A 22,094-nucleotide genomic window follows, 5' to 3' on the forward strand; every position below is an offset into this window, starting at 1 on the left:
CAATGTATAGCCAGTTTTAAGAACCATTTGGCTGTCTCCAATGTTAGACAGCCAGAGAGAGGAGAAGAGCAGAAGACGAATGGAAAGAAGAATAAAGGAGAGGAAAGATTCAGAACACTTTGGAGATGGAATCAATCAGACCAAGCACCCAATTACATGCAGTGAGGGAAAACGGTGTGAGGTGGTCCAAAAGGGGAGGAGGTATTTGTGTTTTGTTTATTGTTTACTACTTTTTCTTCACTATGTAAAAAGGAGGAGTGGGCAAGAAGAAAATAATTCATTCAACAAACATATACTTAAAATACATGTATTGGCCAGGCATGGTGGCTCACACCTGAAATCCCAGCACTTTGGGAGGCTGAGGTGGGCAGATCACCTGAGGTCAGGAGTTTGGGACCAGCCTGACCAACACGATGAAACGCCGTCTCTACTAAAAATACAAAAATTAGCCTGGTGTGGTGGTGCATGCCTGTAATCCCAGCTACCCAGGAGGCTGAGGCAGGAGAATTGCTGGAACCTGGGAGGTGGAGGCTGCAGTGAGCTGAGATCGTGCCACTGCACTCCAGCCTGGGCGACAGGAGCAAGACCCCATCTCAAAAAATAAAAATAAAAATAAAAATAAATAAATAAAATAAAATACACATATTAAGTGCAAACTGTGGATCGAGATTTTGTTTTGGGCATCTTTAACATGCCTGTGGAACATGGACATGGCACATAGGCACCTGAAAATACCAGAGCAATTGGAAGTCACCAATTCATAACTGGGTGATCGTGAAAGAGTGTGGATGAGATCACCAGGAGAGAGTCGAGGAGAGCCAAGAGGGTGATGAACATGGGGAATCATGGACCACGGACCCCGGGGGACTGGGGAGGAAAGCCTTTGTGTGGGATGGTGAGGGCGTGAGAGAAGGAGGCAAGAGTTTCCAGAAGGAGTGGGTGGCCAGTGTGTGAAATGCAGTAGAGAGATGGCCAGAGGTGAAGGCCAACAGGAGCAGGCCCCTCACTTGATGATTAGGAGAGGGCTGTGGCTTTTGAGACAGTGGCAGGGATGGAAGCCAAATTCCAGTGGCTGCAGATGAAAAAGAAAGTGAGGAAGCACAAGCATTGACATAGGAAGTTTGGGGAAAAAGCAATGAAAGCAGTAGCACAGGGAAGGAAGGGTGGAGGACAGAGCTTTATTTTAGACTGGAGTGGCATTATTGTAGTCTGAGGGGAAGGAGCCAGGCTAGAGGAAGCCATGAAAAATACAGAAGAGGGAGGAGACGGGCAGTGGAGCCAGGGCTCCGCTGCGGCAGGCGGCCCGGGGCTCACAAACACTGGGTGAGGAATTGCTCTTGGATGGGACTAGGGATGCTTGTTTCTTGGAGGCTAAAGTGAAGAAGTTTCCAGAATGATGCAGGCCTGTCCGAGAAGCCACCCAGGGTCATTTCTGATTCCCGTGACAGCCTCCTGCCTATATTCTCCCACTTCCCAGGACTCAATCTATTTTGTGCTCCCCTTGAATGCTGCCTCCACCCCAGGACTTGAGGCTGGCTGGAGAGTGAGATGGGATAGCTGAGGTTTCCATCTCTTTCACTGTCCCAGAAGAAAAGCATGGGGCCTCTTTCTGTTTCTAGTTTATGGCTAATCACAATGCATGAAGAATCCAGCTGCAGCTACAAAGATTTGTGGATTCTCAAAAGGTCTTCAGTTATTCTTACTCATTCTTTCTTCCCCTTCTCAGAGGGTTCTCTCCTCTGCTCCCTGGCTCTCTTGTATTGACCTTGCTTCCAGTTATTATACATTGCTGGACATCCCCTCTTCCTGAAAGTCTTTCTCCTCTGAGCATTAGTGACATTCTTCTCCAGGTTGTCTTCTTGTCCACTGTCTCCCCTCCTGTTTCTGACCTCTAGATGTGGAATGCCAGGATTCTGTCCCATGCTCCTTCTCTTCCCCAGGTACACGCTCTCAGAAGGCCATTGTGTCTAGTCCATCACTTTAAATTTCATCTCTACACTGAGATGTCCTGACCTCCTGCTCCAATACCAGCACCCCCCACTGTGTGACTGAAATTTCCATTTGGATTTCTCACAGGGATCTCAAATTTAACATGCCCAAAACAGAACTCTTGATATCTTCCCCCCCTCAATCTGCACCTTCTTCTGGTTTTCCACTCTCAGTATATACTGGCATTTGTTCCCTCAGTTGCTGAACTGGAAACTCAAGGTCAGATTCTTCTCCCTTGCAAATGCAATCTGTCAGTAAATCCTATTGACTCTACCTCCAAAATGATTTGAAATCAGTCCACTTCTTGCATCTCCAGTCTGGTCCAATGTTACTCAAAGTGGGGTTTACAGACCAGCCACATCAGCGTCACCAGGGAACTTGTTAGCAATGTAAAATGTTGAGGTCCTTTCCGTCCAGAATCAGACACTCTGGGGATGGCACCCTTCAGAGAATTCTGATGCCTGCCCAGGTTTGAGAAGCACTACTCTGGTAGTGCCCTCATAATCTCCAGTCCAAGCCACTGCAATAGCCTCCAACTGCTCCCCTTACTCACTTACCCACTAGAATCTGCTCTCCCCCTACAGCCAGAGTGATTGTTTTTAAAAACAGTATCAGATTATATCACACGTACGCCCTCTATCCCCCAGTTTAAGATCTCCCATGGCCTCCATTGGACATAACACAATCCAAGTTCTCTTTCCTGACCCATAGAGTCCTGAGGTGAGATCTGACTACACCTACCACTCCAGCGTCTGCCAAAACCTCCCTTCCCCCTTCCTCTGGGCTTCAGCTCAACGGGCTTTCTCCCACAGTGCATCAGCTTGTTCCTGACTTGGGACTTCTGCACTGGCTGTTCCCTCTGCCTAAAATGCTCTTCCCTTGAACTTCAGTTGCTGGTTCCCTCATGTCATTTTCTGCTCAGTGTAACTGGCACCCCCTTTAGAGGGGCCTTATGCCAATGAACAAATCCAAAGCAGCTCCTTTTTACAAAATATGCAGTTTTAACCTGTATAGCACTTACTACTATCAATTTTTACAAATTTTCTTATTTATTATCTAATGCAACATTTTTGGTCTTAAGTTTTTTTTTTTTTTTCTTTTTTTGAGACAGTGTCTCACTCTGTCGCTCAGGCTGAAGTGCAGTGCGTGATGATGGCTCATAGCAGCCTCAGCTTCTCTGATCCTCCCACCTTACCCTCCTGAGTAGCTGGGACCACAGGTGCACACTGCCACGCCTGGCTAATTTTTGTAATTTTTTTTGATAGAGACGAGGTTTTGCCATGTTGCCCAGGCTGGTCTTGAACTCCTGGCCTCAAGCAATCTGTTCATGTCGGCCTCCTAAAGTGCTGGGATCATGTGCGTGAGCCACCACACCTGGCCATTAATGTACGTTTTATGAGACCTGATTTATCTTGTTCATTGCTGTGTCCAAGTGCCTGAACAGTGCCTAGCACATAGATGCTCCCTAAATATTTGTTGAATGAATGAACTTCACTTCTTCCTTACTTGTAGGCCTGAAGTTGCTATTAAGAAATAATAATTCAGGCTGGGCGCAGTGGCTCATGCCTGTAATCCTAGCACTTTCAGAGGCTGAGGAGGATGGATTGCCCGAGTTCAGGAGTTTGAGACCAGCCTGGGCAACATGGCAAAACCCCATCTCTACTAAAAATACAAAAAAATTAGCTGGGCGTGGTGGGGCGTGCCTGTAATCCCAGCTACTCAGGAGGCTGAGACATGAGAATTGCTTGAACCCAGGAGGCGGAGGTTGCAGTGAGCCGAGATCGTGCCATTGCACTCCAGCCTGGGTGACAGAGCAAGACCCTCAAAAAAAAAAAAAGAAAAGAAATAATAATTCATGAACTAGTGTTTGCTCAAATGGTTACTCACTCCTCTCATGTGGCTGCATTTCTGGAAGCCTCCAGCCAGTGTCAGTCTCATCTCGGAGGCCGGGGTCCACATATTAGTGTAGTCCCCTTACAGCACATCTCAAAAGGAGGCAGGAACGTGAGAAGACATTACCCTGAAAAGATGGCAGGAGTGCAAAAGGACACTAGTGGGCTACTTTCTTAGAACTTTAGGGAGAAAATCCGTGAATGATACCTGAGGGCCTCTATTTTTGTTGTTGTTGAGTGGTAGGCAAAGTTGCCTATTTTTTTTTTTTTTTTTTGAGATGGAGTTTCACTCTGTCGCCCAAGCTGGAGGGCAGTGGTGCAATCTCGGCTCACTACAACCTCTGCCTCCCAGGTTCAAATAATTCTCCTGCCTCAGCCTCCTGAGTAGCTGGGATTACTGGCGCTTGCCACCATGCCTGGCTAATTTTTGTATTTTTAGTAGAGGCAAGGTTTCACTATGTCGGCCAAGCTTGTCTTGAACTCCTGATCTCAAGTGATCCACCCACCGCAGCCTCCCAAAGGGATTACAGGTGTGAGCCATTGCGCCTGGCCAAAGTTGCCTAATTTTTAAGAAAATTGTCTTTATGGTCATAGAAGCCTGGGTTTAAGTCCTGGCTCTGCCACTTATTGCTGTGAAACCTTGGGCAAATCACTTAAACACAGTAAGTCTTAATGTCCTCATTTGTACACCAGGGGTGAGAACAGTACCTACAACACAGGACCGTTGACAGGCTAAATGAGACACCTACAACGTATCTGGCAATGGCAAGCCACCGCCTGAGTGTCAGCTATTATTGTTATTATTTTATAATGAGAGAGAGAGAAGGGTGACTAGCACCGAGGGCTCAAAAAAACAAAAAACGAAAAAAAGGCTGGGTGCGGTGGCTAACGCCTGTGATCCTAGCCTTTTTTGAGACCGTGGAGGCAGGTGAATTGCTCGAGCTCAGAAGTCCGAGACCAGCTGGGCGAGATAGTGAAATCCCATCTCTACAAAAAGCACAAAAATTAGCCAGGCATAGTGGTATGCACCTGTAGTCCCAGCTACTTGGAAGGCTGAGGTGAGGTGAGAGGATGGCTTGGGCCTGGGAGGCGGAGGTTACAATGAGCCAAGATCATGCCACTGCACTCTGGCCTGGGTGATAGAGCCAGACCTTATCTCGGGGGGCGGGGGGTGGGGAAGGCACAGCTATACACAATAATAAGAGAAACACAAGCTAGAAGTGCATAAAAATGTCATTCTTCATCTTCCAAATTGGCAGAGCCTAGAAGTTGGCTGACACTGTTGGTGGAACACAGGGAAGCTGGTGGGAGGGTAAATTGGTACAACCTGCTCCACGGAGAGAACTTTGGCAACTGCTAAGAAAATTACAAATAAACATGTCCTTTGGCCCAGTCAGTCCACTTCCAGGAATTTATGCCACAGATATCCTGGCACATATGCAAAATAAGGTAGCTTCAGGTTATTTATTTCAGCACTGTTTGCTTAACAAAATATTGGAAGCAACCTAAATATCCATGAGTAGAGAAAGGTTAAATAAATCATGGTCTATTTATACAATGCAACAAATAAAATGAAAAACTTCCTGTATATACTGATGTGGAACACTTTCCCAAATTGATTGTTACATGAAAAATGCAAGGTGCAGGATTGTATGTATAGCAGGATATAACAGAAAGCAGGTTGTGGAAAAAAAATATATACCTGTATGCATGTGTCTTTTGTTTTGTTTTGTTTTGTTTTGTCTGAGATGGAGTCTTGCTATTGTCCGCCCAGGCTGGAGTGCAATGACGCAATCTCGGCTCACTGCAACCTCCACCTCCCAGGTTCCAGCAATTCTCCTGCCTCAGCCTCCCGAGTAGCTAGGATTACAGGCACCCCGCCACCACACCCAGCTAATTTTTGTATTTTTTAGTAGAGACGGGGTTTCACCATCTTGGCCAGGCTGGTCTCGAACTCCTGACCTTGTGATCCGCCCACCTTGGCTGCCCAAAGTGCTGGGATTACAGGTGTGAGCCACCGCGCCAGCCCATGTGTCTTTTTATATAACCAGAAGACCTCTGAAAGGGCAGAGTAGAGGAAAAGTTTTTTTGTACACTCTTTTGTAGTTCTTGAAATTTGAGCCATGTGAATGTATTATCTGTTTAAAAAAAAAGGTGAAGATTTTAATTTTTTAAAACTTGTGAGTACTAATGCTCAATGCTTCTTACCTGTTACGTGATGATTGGTTCTAGGAATGGTGGATGGTAAATCTCTCTCAATGACAGCAAATGTCAAATACAAAAGCAATGATAACAAAGGTACTAAAGACCCAGACATTCTTTGGGTTCTGTGCTTGATGATGTAATTGTTGGCTTGCAAGGGAGTTGTTCACGAGGAGATAATAACCTGGTTATGCCCAACGGAATCTGTATCAATCGGCAGAGAATGTTCTGTATTTCTCCCAAGTTTTTGAAAACAATTTTTTTCTTTTTCATTTCTTCCAGCATAAAAATGCATAGTTAACATGCATTTGGATGTCAACTGTGAGCCATATGGATTTAACTGTGCTTTTTTTGGAAAGAAGCAAGAGGGAGAGTGGATATACATTTTCTTCACGTTTCTTCTGCCTTCTATTTAGCTAGCAATTTTGTGAGAGAACCTCTAAGCACAGCTTAGAGGAATGTGAAGTTGGCCTCCCAGTGGGCACTACTTCTCTGTTTTGAGAGTTTCTCTGCATGGCAAGCCCTCCTATACTCCTGCCAAACACTACCAGTCTCCAACTTCCTTACTACACATTGCAAAATTTTATGCAGGTTTTTTCCCCCTTCCTTCTGATTTGTTTCTAATCCCCTAACTCCCTGCAAGTCTAGTTGCCCTGGGTCCTTCTAAGACTCCATGGAAGTAAATGGGTGTTAATATTATTAATTGATTACTTCATTCCATAAACATTTACTAAGTCCCTAGTATGTGTCTGGCACCATGTCAGTGCTGGAAACTTGAAAAAGAATGAGAAATGATTCTGAATTTAAGGCACTTACAGTTGTTTTGGAGAGACAGAAATAAAGTACAGCGTGGGAAGTACGTGGGTGCTATGTGAGCACCAGAAAGGGGCACCTAACCCAGCTTTCGTGGGAGAGTGGGATAGGAAGGGATTCCTGGGGAAGCAACGCGTGAGGAAAGGCTTAAAGGATAAGTGGAAGTTAACCAGGGAAGGTGGGGTGAGGGGGATGAGCGGGGTTGGATATTGGAGGTAAGGACTACCTGTGTGAGAGTGAGAAGGAGCCTTCTGTGTGATAGGAGGGGTACGGTTTCAGCAAGAGCGAAGGCTTAGAGGTGAGAAAACACCCCAGGGGTATGTGTGTTCACGCAGTTTAACTAGGATGTGATGTGTGCAGCAGGAAATGGCAGTAAATGAGGAAAGGAGGACGTTATTGAGAACATCAAGTGCAACAGAGGGGCAGAAACACAGGGCTGAAGATACTAACAAGTAATAGGTCATGGGTGACCTTGATGAAGTGGTTTCTCAGGAGTGGTAGGGCCTGAGACAGGATCTGGTATATTGAGGAGTGAAAGGGAGGTGAGCCTACACTCAGATGATAGTTAACATTTACAAACCACTTTCTATATGACAAGGCTCTAATGCATTCATTTCTCACAACAGCCTGAGAGGTAGACATTATCCACAGCCTTATTTTACAGATGAGGAAACTGAGGCACAGAAAGGTTAAGCAACTTGCCAAAGGTCATGCAGGTAGAAGTGGCAGAACTGAGACCTTAAGGCTCCAGAAACCAAACTCCTGACCAGTAAGAAACTGGGATTCCAGAAATGCAGCCATTGCTAGAGAGTGACTCAAGGCTACTGGAGATTGTAGCACATTTATAGACACAAAGAAAGGTGCCTGGAGACATGCGGAGAGTGATGTCTGACAGAGCAAGGTCCAGGAGGATAAGGCTGAGCCCTGGATTTGACAACGAGAAAATCACTGGTGACTTCTCAGATAGCAGTTTCAGCAGCAGCTGGGGACAAGCCAGATGAACCAGAATGAGGGGAAAAAGGGCTTAAGAGCCACCATTTAAGCACAAGGGGTGGCAATGCCCGAGGGTTGGATGGAGACAGCCCCATCCAGAGGCAGCAGAAAGGGAGTGCATTAGTCAGGGTTCCCCAGAAAAAATATAGGAGTGTGTGTGTGTGTGTGTGTGTGTGTGTGTGTGTGTGTGTGTGTGTGTGTTTATGGAGAGAGAGAGAGACAGAGAGAGAGATTTATTATAAGGAATTGGCTCAAGTGGTTATAGAGGCTGACAAGTTCTAAGGTCTGCAGTTGGCAAGCTGGAGACCCGGGAGAATTGATGATGTAGCTCCAGTCTCAATGTTAGCAGGCTTGAGACCTAAGAAGAGTTGATGTTTCAGAATGAGTTCGAAGGCAGGAAAAAAATCCAGCATCCAAGTTGGAAGACAGGCAGGAGGAGTTCCATGCAGGCCTTCAATTGATTGGATGAGGCCAACCCACATTAGGGAGGACAATTGGCTGTACTCAGTCTACCAATTCCAAGACTATTTTCTTTTTTTCCCTTTTTTTCCTCTGCATTTTTGCTCTGCTTTATCAAATGTTGATTTCATCCAGAAACATACTCACAAACACACCCAGAATGATGTTTGATCAAATATCTTGTCGCCCTATGGCCCAGTTAAGTTTATATCTAAAATGAATCATCACAGGGAGATAAGGCCAAGTATGACTGCAGATAAATCTGTTTTGGAACACAGAAAGTTCAGAAGAGGACAGACTTTTGCCCTCTCCTAATAACATATATGCATCAAACTAGAAACGATCTTTCTTTTTTTCTTTCTTTCTTTTCCTTCCCTCCCTTCCTCCCTCCCTTCCCTCCCTCCCTCCCTTCCTCCCTCCCTCCCTCCCTCCCTTCCCTCCCTCCCTCCCTTCCTCCCTCCCTCCCTCCCTCCCTTCCTCCCTCCCTCCCTCCTTCCTTCCTTCCTTCCTTCTTTCCTTCCTTCCTTCCTCCCTCCCTCCCTCCTTCCCTCCTTCCCTTCTTTTTGACAGGGTCTCATTCTGTTGCCCAGGCTGGAGTGCAGTGGCATGATCTCGGCTCACTGCCAACTCCACCTCCCAGGTTCAAGCGATTCTCCTGCCTCAGCCTCTTGAGTAGCTGGGATTACAGGCGTGCACCACCACGGCCAGTTAATTTGTGTATTTTTAGTAGAGACGGGGTTTCACCATGTTAGCCAGGCTGGTCTTGAACTCCTGACCTCAAGTGATCCACCCGTCTCAGCCTCCCAAAGAGCTGGGATTACAAGCATGAGCCACGGCACCCAGCCTAGAAACAATTTCTTAAACCAACTTCAGCTGGATCCCTGAGGTCAGGGTGACGTTTTCCATTTCTCAAATGTCTTTGAAAGGGTGGAGGCTGAGCTTTCAATAGTAATTATTATTTATAACTTTTATTATTATCCAAAAAAGTGCCAGTTTTGTGATTGGCATTTAAAAACACTGAGTTATGTTCTGATGATGACAGACTCTTGCTAACCATATGGTTACCTTGTATCAGTTACCGAGATACACATGTTCAGCCCTGCTAAACGTCCTGGCCCTTGAACCTTTTCACAGACAGTGCGTGAGTGAGGCTGGGCGGTTCAGTGACCTGGGCGGTTCAGGAGTCTGTCGCTCAGCCAGGAAGTTTCACAGCCAGAATTTAAACGTACATCTGTTAGACTCTAAAACCAATAGCCTCACCACTATGCAAGCACACTCGTAATCCAGTATGTCCACCAAATTTCATTCTAAACTATCTTAAAGGAGAAATTTTACTTTGAGACAGGGTCTCGCTCTGTTCCCCAGGCTAGAGTGCAGTGGCGGGATATTGGCTCACTGCAACCTCCGCCTTCAGGGCTCAAGCAATACTCCCACCTCAGCCTCTCAAGTAGCTGGGACTATAGGTGCACACCACCATGACTAATTTTTTTTTCTTTTCTTTCTTTTTTTTTTTTTTGAGACAGAGTCTCACTCTGTCGCCCAGGCTGAAGTACAATGGTGCGATCTCGGCTCACTGCAACCTCCGCCTCCCAGGTTCAAGCAATTCTCCTGCCTCAGCCTCCCGAGTAGCTGGAATTACAAGCATACGTCACCATGCCCAGCTAATTTTTTTTGTATTTTTAGTAGAGACAGGGTTTCACCATTTTGGCCAGGCTGGCCTCGAACTCCTGTGATCTGCCCACCCCGGCCTCCCAAAGTGCTGGGATTACAGGCATGAGCCACCGTGCCCGGCCCCTGACTCATTTTTTTATTTTTATTTTTGTAGAAACAAGGTCTCACTATATTGCCCAGGCTGAGAAATTTATTTATTTATTTATTTATTTATTTATTTATTTATTTATTTATTGAGATAGAGTCTCACTCTGTCACCCAGGCTGGAGTGCAATGGCACAATCTCAGCTCACTGCAACCTCCACCTCCTGGGTTCAAGCGATTCTCCTGCCTCAGCCTTCTCAGTAGTTGGGACTACAGGCGCCTGCCACCACACCGAGGTTATTTTTATTTTTATTTTTATTTTTTGTATTTTTAGTAGAGACTGGATTTCACTGTGTTAGCCAGGATGGAGAAATTTTAAATGAAGGGTTTGCAAGGCTCTCCAAGAAAACAGACAGGCATTATTTATTATTTCCCAAAGCTTTTGCTTCAAAATACATACAACATCTTATTTTTTTAATTTAGGAAATTTTTATTAACAAAATTCAAATTTGAGGGGGTTTTTGTTTTTTGCTGTCAATAAGTTTATTGTCTTTATCTGAAAAATCCTCACAGAAAGTTGTTTGATTTAGCTCTCAGCAGCCCACTCCTGAGCTCTGAGGAATCTTGCCCTCTTTTGAGCTACCCTTTCTTCCAAGCAAGGGACATTTTGGGACGGTTCCACCTCTTCTTTTTAACTTCTTTCTTGGGCTTCTTCTCATAGACCGGATTCTTTCGTATAGTAGCATGACCTTTCTTATACATCTCCTCCATCATGTCTGAAGTTACGCTGTTCTTTATGTATTGAGAGAGCTGTTTCTTGTAAGCATCTTCATCTTCCTCCATTAAGTAGCACATGTACTGCAACATTCTGGCCCTTGATGTACTTCCGGTGTATTTCTGCATTAAATTCCTTGCTTTCAGAATCATAACCAGGGAATCATTTGGTACTGTGAGGGACAGACAAGCCTCCATCCACAGCTCCCTTCAGGGTGCCGAAAACTTTATTGCCAGTGGTAGTTCTGGCAAGGCCTGCATCCAAATAGCAGGTTAAGGTGCCTGGCTGTCCATCAGTGCTTTCCACATTGTATTCATCTCCAGTCACCTCCACTTGGCCTTCATAGATCTTGTCCATGCCAAACCTATTGAGAAGCCTGCAGGCCAACAGCAGGCTAGTACAATATGCTGCAGCATCATTTGTCAGGCCAACCTTCACACCATATTTTGGCAGTTTGTGTACATATGCTCCAGACTATTATATCCCCTTCTATGCAGGCATAAGCAATCTGACAAATGATATATCTGTTACACGAACTATCAACGTGTATTTGGGTGTGTTGTATTTATTTTTATTCTGTATCACCAAGCGTTTGTGAGCATAGTAATCAGTTTTACCCTCTAGTTGTCTTCTGAATTTCACTTGGTATCTCTTAAAGTAGGCCTTATTCTTAACAACTTGAACAACAAACTCCATCCTGTGGAACAGAGACCCGCATCCGCTGCTCAACAGAGACCTTGCAGGCCCAGCAGTGCTGGGGGCAGAAAAGGCACAAAATTCAAATGTTTATTTCAAATAAATTTAAAGAGGGAAAGAAATATCCACCAAAATGTTACCTCCGGAATTAGCTGTCACACTTCTCTGTTTCCCCTGAGACTGTCTATAGGCATATACAGTGTGTATGTGTATATATGTTTGTGCAGATATATTTCTTTACATAAAGAGCATCACTGGGTACCTATGCACACATAAAAATATAATTTTAACACCATTTTGATGGCTACCTGAAATACTTTTATAACAGACTTGTCTATGCCATAAGTTCTTGGGAAAACAAATAATCATAAGAATAATATCAATTGATATAAGAATATTTGTCAGTTTACTTAATAAATGCTAGGAGGAAGTCTGTTAAAATTTTTTTGTAATTTGTATTGGAGTGCCTTCACTGTTTAATATAGACTGGAGGGTGGTAGAGCATACAGGTGAAGTGTACAGGCTGAGGCTTAAATCTCAGCTCCCAGTTCCCCATTTGCTGTGTGACCTTGAGCAAGTCGCTTATCCTCTCTGTGCCTTGGTTTTCTAATCTATATAAAGGGGAATAATAGAACTTAAATGAGTTAGTCCATGTAAAGTGCTTTAGATCAGTGCCTGGCTCCTGGTAACAATTAGTTTGTGTTACAAGATATATTCATCTGTACTCTATAAACATTCAAGTTGCTGAGTCACTTAGTCCAAGAAAACCCCAAGGCAGTTTGACACAGCTGAGGCGGTTGTAGGGGAATTTTTCAGGCTGATTTCTGGGGTGGGAACTTGGAGTCTGTATTTTTACAGAACTCTTCAGGTAAGTGACTCTTAAGGTCAGCCGGGCTTATGAACCACTGGGTGAGAACACTGGGCACAGTTAGACAGCAGTTGGGTGGTGGGCGAGACTGGAAAGATTCAGAACAGTGAGTTTGAGACGGCCCGCCCAGACACAGTGGCCCTTTGTAAGCAGCAAAGCAGGGTGATATGATATTTAAAACTGGAACTTTGTCAGCTGAGAGTCAGTTGAGATAAAGAAGGCCAAAGCAACAAAAAGGTGGAAGAAACCCACAGATAGAGTAGGTTTCTCTCTGAAGTTACCGAGTAGTTTGTGCGGGAATATTTTTTCTTCTTTTTGTTCCATTTGGTTTTGTGTATCTTATTTTTAAAAGCATGCAGAGATACATTTTTTCCTCCTTGTGATAACAGCTAATGTTTACTTAGTGTGTGTCATGGCTGTGCTAGCAGTTTTTAAGCTTTCTTCATGTAATCTTCCAGACAGCTGTATGAAGCATGTTCTATTGTTCCCACTTTAAAAGGAAAAAACTAAAATTTGGAGACGTTAAATAACTTACATAAGGCCCATATCCATTTTTCCTTTCTTCTTTTGTAACGGAATTTCAGCTTTATTTGGAGTGTTCACATCCAGTGAAAATAAATTTCCCAGTACCTCTGACAGCTATGTGTGGCCATGCGACTAAGTTGTAGCCAAAGAGATGCAAATAAAAGAACTATCTAGGGCCCCGTGGGAAGGTTTCTTATAGGGTATTGATTTGGCTGTGAGGTATGTCCCTATTTACCCTTCTCCCATCCTACTTTCTGGTGCCTACAATGCAGATGTGAGCTTTGGCAGCCATCTTGGACTTTGAGGATATAAAGCATGTATTCAATGGTGGTAGAGGGGTGGAGGAAGACAGCGCTTCTGCCCCCAGTGACCAAGGAGCTGCTATACCAGCCCTGGGCTGCCTACCTCCGACTTCTTTTATTTGAAAGATATATAAACATTTTGGTTTTTTTTTTTTTTTTTTTTTGAGACAGAGTTTCACTTTTTTGCCCAGGCTGGAGTGCAATGGCTTGATCTTGGCTCACTGCAACCTCTGCCTCCTGGGTTCAAGCGATTCTCCTGCCTCAGCCTTTCAAATAGCTGGGATTACAGGCACTTGCCACCATGCCCAGCTAATTTTATACTTTTAATAGAGATGAGGTTTCACCATGTTGACCAGGCTGGTCTCTAACTCCTAACCTCAGGTGATCTGCCCACGTCTGCCTCCAAAGTGCTGGGATTACAGTGAGCCACCGCACCTGGCCCCTGAAAGATATATAAACTTTTATCTTGTTGAAGTTGCTCTTATCAACATACAAATATGATCCAAACCATAATACTGGCTTATGCTTATATTACTTATACTTTATCAAAGGTAACTATATGCTAGACACTTTTCTTGTGATTTCTACATACTGACTCATTCAGTCCTCATAACAGCCCTATGTGTACATGCGGTTATTATTCCCATTTTGCAAACGGGAAATTGAAGCAAAGAGAGGTTATGTGGCTTGCCCAAGGTCACATAGCTAGCAGTGACAGAGCCAACAACACACAGCTAATAAGGCCAGGTGCGGTGGCTTACACCTGTAATCCCAGCTTTTTGGGAGGCTGAGGCGGGCGGATCACATGAGGTCAGGAGTTCGAGACCAGCCTGGCCAACACAGCAAAACCCTGTCTCTACTAAAAAATAAACAAATTAGCCGGGCATGGTGGCACAGGCCTGTAATCTCAGCACTTTGGGAAGCTGAGGTGGGTGGATCACTTAAGGTCAGGAGTTCAAGATCAGCCTGGCTAACATAGTGAAACCCCATCTCTTTTTTAGTACTTTTTTGTAAAAAATACAAAGAAATTAGCCGGGTGTAGGGGTGCCTGCCTGTAATCCCAGCTACGTGGGAGGCTGAGGCAGGAGAATCACTTGAATCTGGGAGGTGGAGGTTGCAGTGAGCCGAGATCACCCCACTGCACTCCAGCCTGGACTCGGTCTCAAAAAAAGCCAAAATACAAAAAACCAAAAAGTAAAAAATGAAAAATAAACCCATACTCAGTATGAATGTGGTATGTTTTGTGGCTTTCCTTACCTAAACCTTACCTTCTGCTTTAATTTATAAAATGGAGGACTCCTAGCTGGTTGCCATGAGAAGGAAACCATAGTCTCTCCCGAAGATTAAAACAGCCTCATTAGGGTCCACCTTAAAGCCCTAATTCCTTAGTGAAACCTCCAAAATAAATGTCATGGATGCGTTCTAAAGTTAATTATTTTAAAAAGCATCCATGGAATCTCACTTGCCATTGTTTTCATTAGAACATTGTTTTGCTTTTCTTTTATCAAGCAGGACTCTTTAATAAACAGAATTGAGCCATCTAGCTGTCTGTCCATTCAACAAACAGTAAGCACCTGCCAGAGCCAGCCACTCTCCCAGGTGCTGGGATGCAGCAGCAATGAATAGACATCACAGAATTGACATTCCAGACACGGGAGGCAGGTAATTAACAAATCAACACACAAGAAAAGATCACGTGCAAACAAGTGCTACAAAGAGAAGAGGAATGTGGTAGAGGCTTCCTTAGGAAGGTTTCACTGAGGAGAAGATATCTGAGCTGATGCTTGGAGGCAAGAAGGAAGCATCTTCCAGAGTGAGGGAACGGTGATTCCCTGGGGTCAGAATAAGCATGGCTTGCTTAAGGGACAGACAGAAACCCCATGTGACAGAAACATGAGCATGGAAGATTGGCATGAGATGAGGTCAGAAAGTTAGGTGGTGCCAGGTCATACCATACATCAAGGCCAGTTTTGGGACTTTTACTCTGAGAGGGGAAGCTATTGGATGGTTTTAGGCAACATACTGGATAATTACCACCCTGGGCATTGAAAAGCCCTTCTTATTTTTGGGAATCACAAAACTTGTGGCATATCAGGCATCAGTTCCACTATTGAAGCTACAACTTAGAAATGAATAGAAAAGATGGTTTCTCTCCCCTTCCCCCTGGCACTTAGAGCAACGTCAATCAGATAGATGCTCCTACCTGGGACTTTGAATCATGAGGTCATCTTCCAAGAGGTAAGGTCAGTTAGAAATTAATAGGGTGGCTCCCCATCCGGGAGGGAGGTGGGGGTCAGCCCCCGCCAGGCCAGCCGCCCCGTCCGGGAGGGAGGTTGGGGGGTCAGCCCCCCGCCCGGCCAGCTGCCCCGTCCGGGAGGGAGGTGGGGGGGGTCAGCCCCCCGCCCGGCCAGCCGCCCCGTCCGGGAGGTGAGGGGCACCTCTGCCGGGCCGCCCCTACTGGGAAGTGAGGAGCCCCTCTGCCCGGCCAGCCGCCCCGTCCGGGAGGGAGGTGGGGGGGTCAGCCCCCCCGCCCGGCCAGCCGCCCCGCCCGGGAGGGAGGTTGGGGGGTCAGCCCCCCGCCCGGCCAGCTGCCCCGTCCGGGAGGGAGGTTGAGGGGTCAGCCCCCCGCCCGGCCAGCCGCCCCGCCCGGGAGGGAGGTTGGGGGGTCAGCCCCCCGCCCGGCCAGCCGCCCCGTCCGGGAGGGAGGTTGGGGGGTCAGCCCCCCGCCCGGCCAGCCGCCCCGTCCGGGAGGGAGGTGGGGGGGTCAGCCCCCCCGCCCGGCCAGCCGCCCCGCCCGGGAGGTGAGGGGCGCCTCTGCCCGGCCGCCCCTACTGGGAAGTGAGGACCCCCTCTGCCCGGCCACCAACCCGTCTGGGAGGTGTACCCAACAGCTCATTGAGAACGGGCCATGATGACAATGGCGGTTTTGTGGAATAGAAAGGGGGGAAAGATGGGGAAAAGATTGAGAAATCGGATGGTTGCCATGTCTGTGTAGAAAGAGGTAGACATGGGAGACTTTTCATTTTGTTCTGTACTAAGAAAAATTCTTATCCTGTTGATCTGTGACCTTACCCCCAACCCTGTGCTCTCTGAAACATGTGCTGTGTCCACTCAGGGTTAAATGGATTAAGGGCGGTGCAAGATGTGCTTTGTTAAACAGATGCTTGAAGGCAGCATGCTCCTTAAGAGTCATCACCACTCCCTAATCTCAAGTACCCAGGGACACAAACACTGCGGAAGGCCACAGGGTCCTCTGCCTAGGAAAACCAGAGACCTTTGTTCACTTGTTTATCTGCTGACCTTCCCTCCACTATTGTCCTATGACCCTGCCAAATCCCCCTCTGCGAGAAACACCCAAGAATGATCAATAAAAAAAAATAAATAAATAAATTAAAAAAAAAAAAAGAAATTAATAGGGTGGCTGTGGTGGGGTCAGGAGCGCCCAGGAATGAGTGTGCCGTGGCAGCAGAGTCCAGCATATGGCAACCAATGTCCACTGACACCTGGCTGCCCGTATGTCTCCTGTGGTATGGTATCAGTGGCATAGCAAGCCGTGCTGGGAGCTTTGCTGTGACAGCCTTACTTGGTACCTTGTTCTCCAGTCTTCCTCTTGATTCTCTGAGCTCCCTAGTCACTTTCAATAAATCCCTCCTCTGTTTAAACATTAGCCAGAAGTTGTTGTTTGAAACCCAGCACCTTGACTAGTACAGCGGGGGAGTGAGCCACATTTTCAAAAGATAACTGGTAAATGGAAAATGGATTTCAAAAGTCTGCTAAATGGAAAATGGTTTAAAAGGGTTATCAGCCATTGGCCAGTCAGAAACAGAAGACACTGTAGGTATTTCAGTAAATATAAAGAATTGGTTTCACAGGCATTAGAGGGCTGAAAGAGTAAAAGGAAAAAGGAAGAGGCTAGGTAACCTAGGGATTAATAACTGCAGGAAGCAGCTCTCGCTCCCAAGGCTGACCAACAGGAGGGAACAGGTGGAGTTGCCTGTACTGAGGAGCTTGGAGGAGGGGCCCCACGGGGCTGGTGCTTGGATTTCTGAGGACAGCTCTGCCTGGCTCAGATCTCGGATGAGGGGGTTGCTGTCTGGCTGGTGTTTCCACCAAAGGGGCGTGGCTCTACAGGTGCTCAGACCTCCCTGGGGTGCAGCCCAGCAGGTGAGGGGGTGTGGCATGGCTGCTGCTGGCACCTGGGGCTTGAGGGGAGGCACAGCAAGGTTGGTACTGAGAATACTCAGAAGCTGGAGCTAGGGCCAGTTATGTGCTGCTACTGAAGTAAAATTGAAAACAGGAAGTGGAAAACAAGGTAGAAGTCCCTTCTTTTCTTCTGCTTTGTGATCTCCTTCTAATGCCTCAGATTGGAAAACCTAACAGGAAGCCAGCTAGCTGGGAGGTGGAGAGATTTCGTTTGCATCATCCCAACCCCAGGATTACAGAGAAGAGCATAGAAAGATATCTTGGAGATCACAGATAAATCGCCAGCACAGACAACATCATGTCCAGTTAGGAGGCCATGGCAGTAGCCCAGGAGAGAGAAGATGATGGCCCAGACATTTGGTCAGGTATTCTGGGGGTGTATGGGAGGGTGTTTTGGGTGGAAATTAACTTTTTTTTTTTGAGACAAGGTCTGGCTCTGTCACCCAGACTAGAGTGCAGTGGCATGATATTGGCTCACTGCAACCTTCGCCTGCTGGTTTCAAGTGATCCTCCTGCCTCAGCCTTCTGAATAGGTGGGATTACCGGTGCACATCACCATGCCTGGCTAATTTTTGTATTTTTTTGTAGAGACAGGGTTTCACCATGTTGACCAGGCTGGTGGAACTCCTGAGCTCAAGCAATCCTCCTGCCTTGGCCTCCCAAAGTGCTGGGATTACAGGAGTGAGCCACCACGCCCGGCCTGAGATGAACATTTGAATTGGTAGATGGAGTAAAGCAGACTCCCCCTTACCAATACGAATGGATGTTATCCGATCAGCTAAGGTCTGAATAGAACAAAAAGGCTGACCCTCCCACGAGCAAGAGAGAACTCCTCCTGCCTGTCTTCAAGCTGGGACATTGGCTTTTTTTCTTGTTTTCAGACTGGAACTGAAATGCTGGTTTGTCCTGCGTCTCTAGCCTGCCAGCGTTCAGACTCAAACCACACTTTTGGCTCTCTTGGGTCTCCAGCTTGCTGACTACAGATTTGGGGATTCAACAACCTTCATAATCATGTGGGCCAACTCCTTATAACAAATAAATAAATATAGATATGAACATAGATCCTATTGGTTTTGATTCTCTGGAGAATCCTGACTAATATAAGTGCCTTATGAGACAGGCAGGGCAGGTTTATCTCCAGAAAGAAGCAAATATGGCAGTTTGGAAGCCTCCATAAGAGGACAAAAATGAAAATGTAGGACTTCACTCATTCCTTTGCGTCATCATCTGTTTAAACCACATTTTCCTCTGTTTATGTAACTCTCAATAGTGACAGGGTTTCCCATGCTCTTTTTTCTGCTTCTTTCCACAACGGCATCTACCCACTCACCCGGGTAAGACCTTGAAATGCCCTTTCTTTTCTCCCCCATCTAAGTTGTTGCCAAACTTCCAAAATAGCTCTTTAGTCTGTTCTTTTCCATATTTCCCCACAATTTGGGCCTTACTCTTTTCTTCCCTGGAGTACACTCATAGTGCGTGATTACACATTTGTGGGACTGTTCATTAAGTTGCTCTCCCACACCAGACTTGAGGTTCCAAAACCTCACTATTGTGACTCCAGCTCTTGTCACACACACAGAGGTCTCAAAAAGTCTGTTGTTGAATTAACCAGACTGCCTATCTCTAGTCTCTTACTCCCTCTAATCATACTGCCCAAGAGTGACTAAATATGCAAATCTGAACTTTCCATTTCTCTGCCTGAGAGCTCCCTTCAGTCCAGCAGAGGTGGTGAGCTGGAGGCCCTTGACTGCATCTAAAGGTGTTTTGTTTAGCCCCCTCAGTGGTTTTGTTTTTTGTTGTTGTTGTTGTCGTTGTTTTTGGAATAATTGCCAACTTAAAAAATCTGGGCCTGTCTTATAAATATTGGGAATTCCAGCTTTTCTTGACGATTTCGAAGATTTGCTAACCCTGGGTCTGTACCCTTCCATGGCAACAACTGGCAGAAGCTGGTTGACCGTTACTTCCTTTAGTTGGGAATAGACTCAGTTTGACAGATTTGCTTCAATCCCAGCAGGGCCTTCTTCATTCCCTTACTTATCCTTCAGTCCTGAACTCCAGGGTCATGGGAATCAAGTTTACATGTCTGATCATGGCTGCTAGGGCCTTCCATCATCTCATCCTGCTTACAGTGCCTCCTGGGCTCTAGAGCCATGTAGATTATTTACAGGAGACAGTGCTTCTTCTCACCTCTGTGCTTTGGTCCTGAAAAGTCTAGGATGCCCTTCTGATGAATGGCCACACCTCATAATCCCCCTGGGGACTCCTCTTAAGCCTACAGGACTTAGCTTGGTTCATATCCTCTGGGAAGATTTCCTCCTTGGCAGTAGTCATGCTCTTCTTTTTTTTTTTTTTTTTTTTTGAGAAAGGGTCTCACTATGTTGCTCAGGCTGGAGTGCAGTGGCACAATCACAGCTCGTTGCAGCCTCCAACTCCTGGGCTCAAGCAATCCTCCCATCTCAGCCTCCTGAGTAGTTGGGACCATAGGTATGCACCATTACACCCGGCTAATTTTTAAAAAATTTTTTTAGAGACACAGTCTTGCTAGGTTGCCTAGTCTGGTCTTAAAGTCATAGTCTCAAGCAATCCACCTCCCTCAGCCTCCCAAATTGCTAGGATTATAGGCATGAGCCACCGTGCCCAGCCATTCCTCTTCCTAATGTACTATTCACTTTGTTTTGGAATTACTTGTAACCATATGACCCCCCTCACCAGATTAAAGTACCAATAAAATCACATTCTTTTTGAGTGTTAAATAAATTGGTAACAGCCTCCTTTCGCCAATTTGTGGAAACTCTAGTGGCTCACATTAGAGAACTAGAACTGGAAATTCTCACCAGTTTCCAGTAGGCCCCTGTTTTCCACTGTGGTTGATTCTGTTACTACTCTACAGTGCTGGTATTAAAAGTTGGTTTTGTAGTCCAGTATGTGCTTGTCTGCTGCTGCTGAGATGACAGTCTTTCAAGTTAATATTCCTCACCGGCCAAGAGGTCCTCGGGGGGAAGGTGATCCCATGCCCTCAGTGTTGTCTTGTTAGAAATCTTTCCCTCTTTGGCTCTTTAACTTACAATCTTATGATCATTCTTTTCCCCAAAGCCCACTTTCACACCAGGATGACTGGGACGTGAGGGGCTTCCCAGGGACTTCTCCTTTGCTCCTAGTGAGTTCTTCTCTAGAGCCTTTTTCTCTTTTCTCACCAGGGGACCTCAGTTGGGACTGCCCCATTTATCAGAGGAGTTATATAAACCTCAAAAGGGAGAGGGTTCCAGGTCTCCATTCCTCCCCTCCCAGGAAGCTTCTTGTCCTCTATGCAAAATTATCCACATTCTCCCCAACAGACCAGCTCTGTACACTGGGACCAGGTTTTCTCACACTGCAAATACTCTGTCCCCTCTTTCTCCCAGGTAATGGGTGCCTCCTTCTCTATATTTATACAATGTAGATAAGCCATCCTGGTGATTCTTCTCCAAAGACTTCTTCCAAGGTAACTAGTGTTTTCTATTTGGAAAGTAGGCTCTGGCAACTGTGAATAGGACAGCTTTTCCTAATAATAATTTTCTAAGCTGCATCTTGTCTTAGGTGGGGTTCCCTGTAAAATGGACTCAGAGATGGAGATTTATATGCAGATGGGATGTTTTGGAGTGTGTTCTCAGGAACAACACCTATAAGGGAGTGAGAGAAGCAGAACTGGGTAAAGGAAGAGTTGAACTGTGGTGCAGTTGCAGCAGAGGCCTCAGCTGACTGGGTAACCTTTCAGTGTTTACTCCAGTTGAGACAAGGAGACTGGCCTTGGTACTCCCTCAATGGCCAGTCATTGGCCAGTCATTGGATGCAGACTGCCCCAATTCCAGGAAGGGGCATTAACCTTGGGGAAGACAGCTCCCTTCAGCCAAGGGCAATTCCTGGGGATGGACTCATCTGAGTCTTTAATGGGCAACTCTGCATAGGGAGGAAGAGTGTCTCCATCTTGAAGCGGTGATCTGGGCAGTGCACCACAGTGTCCACTATAGACCTATCTAGACATAATCTGTTCATAGCTCTGTCTCCTCCACTGTACTCTAAGCACCTTGCTATGGACTGAATGTTTGTATCCTCCCAAAATTCTTATATTGAAGTCCTAATCTCCGGTGTGATAGTATTTGGAGGTGGGGCCTTTGGGAGGTAATTAGGTCATGAGGGTTGTATTAGCCCATTTTCACTCTGCTATAAAGAAATACCTGAGACTGGATAATTTATTTTATTTATTTTTAATACATAAATAAAATAAAATTTTATTTTCCCTCTATTTCCCAGGCTGGAGTGCAGTGGTATAATCTCGGCTCATTCCAACCTCCGCCTCCCAGGCTCAAGCAATTCTCATGCCTCAGCCTCCCGAGTAGCTGGGATTACAGGTGTGCACCACCATGCCTGGCTAATTTTTTGTGTTTTTAGTAGAGATGGGGTTTCACCATGTTGGCCAGGCTGGTCTTGAACTCCTGGCCTCAAGTTGATTTGCCCACCTCCACCTCCCAGAGTGCTGGGATTACAGGTGTGAGGCACCACCCCCGGCTGAGACTGGGTAATTTATAAAGGAAAGAGGTTTAATTGACTCACAGTTCTGCATGGCTGGGGAGGCATCAGGAAAC

At 46.0% G+C, this 22,094-nt stretch overlaps 1 long non-coding RNA gene and 1 pseudogene across 2 annotated transcripts in view, besides 3 other annotated features; one reads left to right on the plus strand and one right to left on the minus strand.

The window, feature by feature from the left end:
- The window catches only part of MAILR (macrophage interferon regulatory lncRNA), a 113,606-nt gene that overhangs the window by 48,411 nt on the left and 43,101 nt on the right, over window positions 1-22,094 (plus strand). The gene's annotated exons all lie outside the window — the stretch shown is intronic.
- Window positions 7,459-7,548: a silencer, noted in NCBI's record as "silent region_19450". NCBI's record gives its function as "represses an Ori minimal core promoter by ATAC-STARR-seq in GM12878 lymphoblastoid cells {active_cell/tissue: GM12878}" and the evidence as "EXISTENCE:reporter gene assay evidence [ECO:0000049][PMID:35858748]".
- On the minus strand, window positions 10,632-11,648 carry RPL5P24 (ribosomal protein L5 pseudogene 24; annotated as a pseudogene).
- Window positions 17,618-17,737: an enhancer, noted in NCBI's record as "active region_27783". NCBI's record gives its function as "activates an Ori minimal core promoter by ATAC-STARR-seq in GM12878 lymphoblastoid cells {active_cell/tissue: GM12878}" and the evidence as "EXISTENCE:reporter gene assay evidence [ECO:0000049][PMID:35858748]".
- Window positions 18,936-19,035: an enhancer, noted in NCBI's record as "active region_27784". NCBI's record gives its function as "activates an Ori minimal core promoter by ATAC-STARR-seq in GM12878 lymphoblastoid cells {active_cell/tissue: GM12878}" and the evidence as "EXISTENCE:reporter gene assay evidence [ECO:0000049][PMID:35858748]".

Source organism: Homo sapiens, chromosome 8 (genome assembly GCF_000001405.40).
Source record: "Homo sapiens chromosome 8, GRCh38.p14 Primary Assembly".
NCBI lineage: Eukaryota > Metazoa > Chordata > Mammalia > Primates > Hominidae > Homo > Homo sapiens.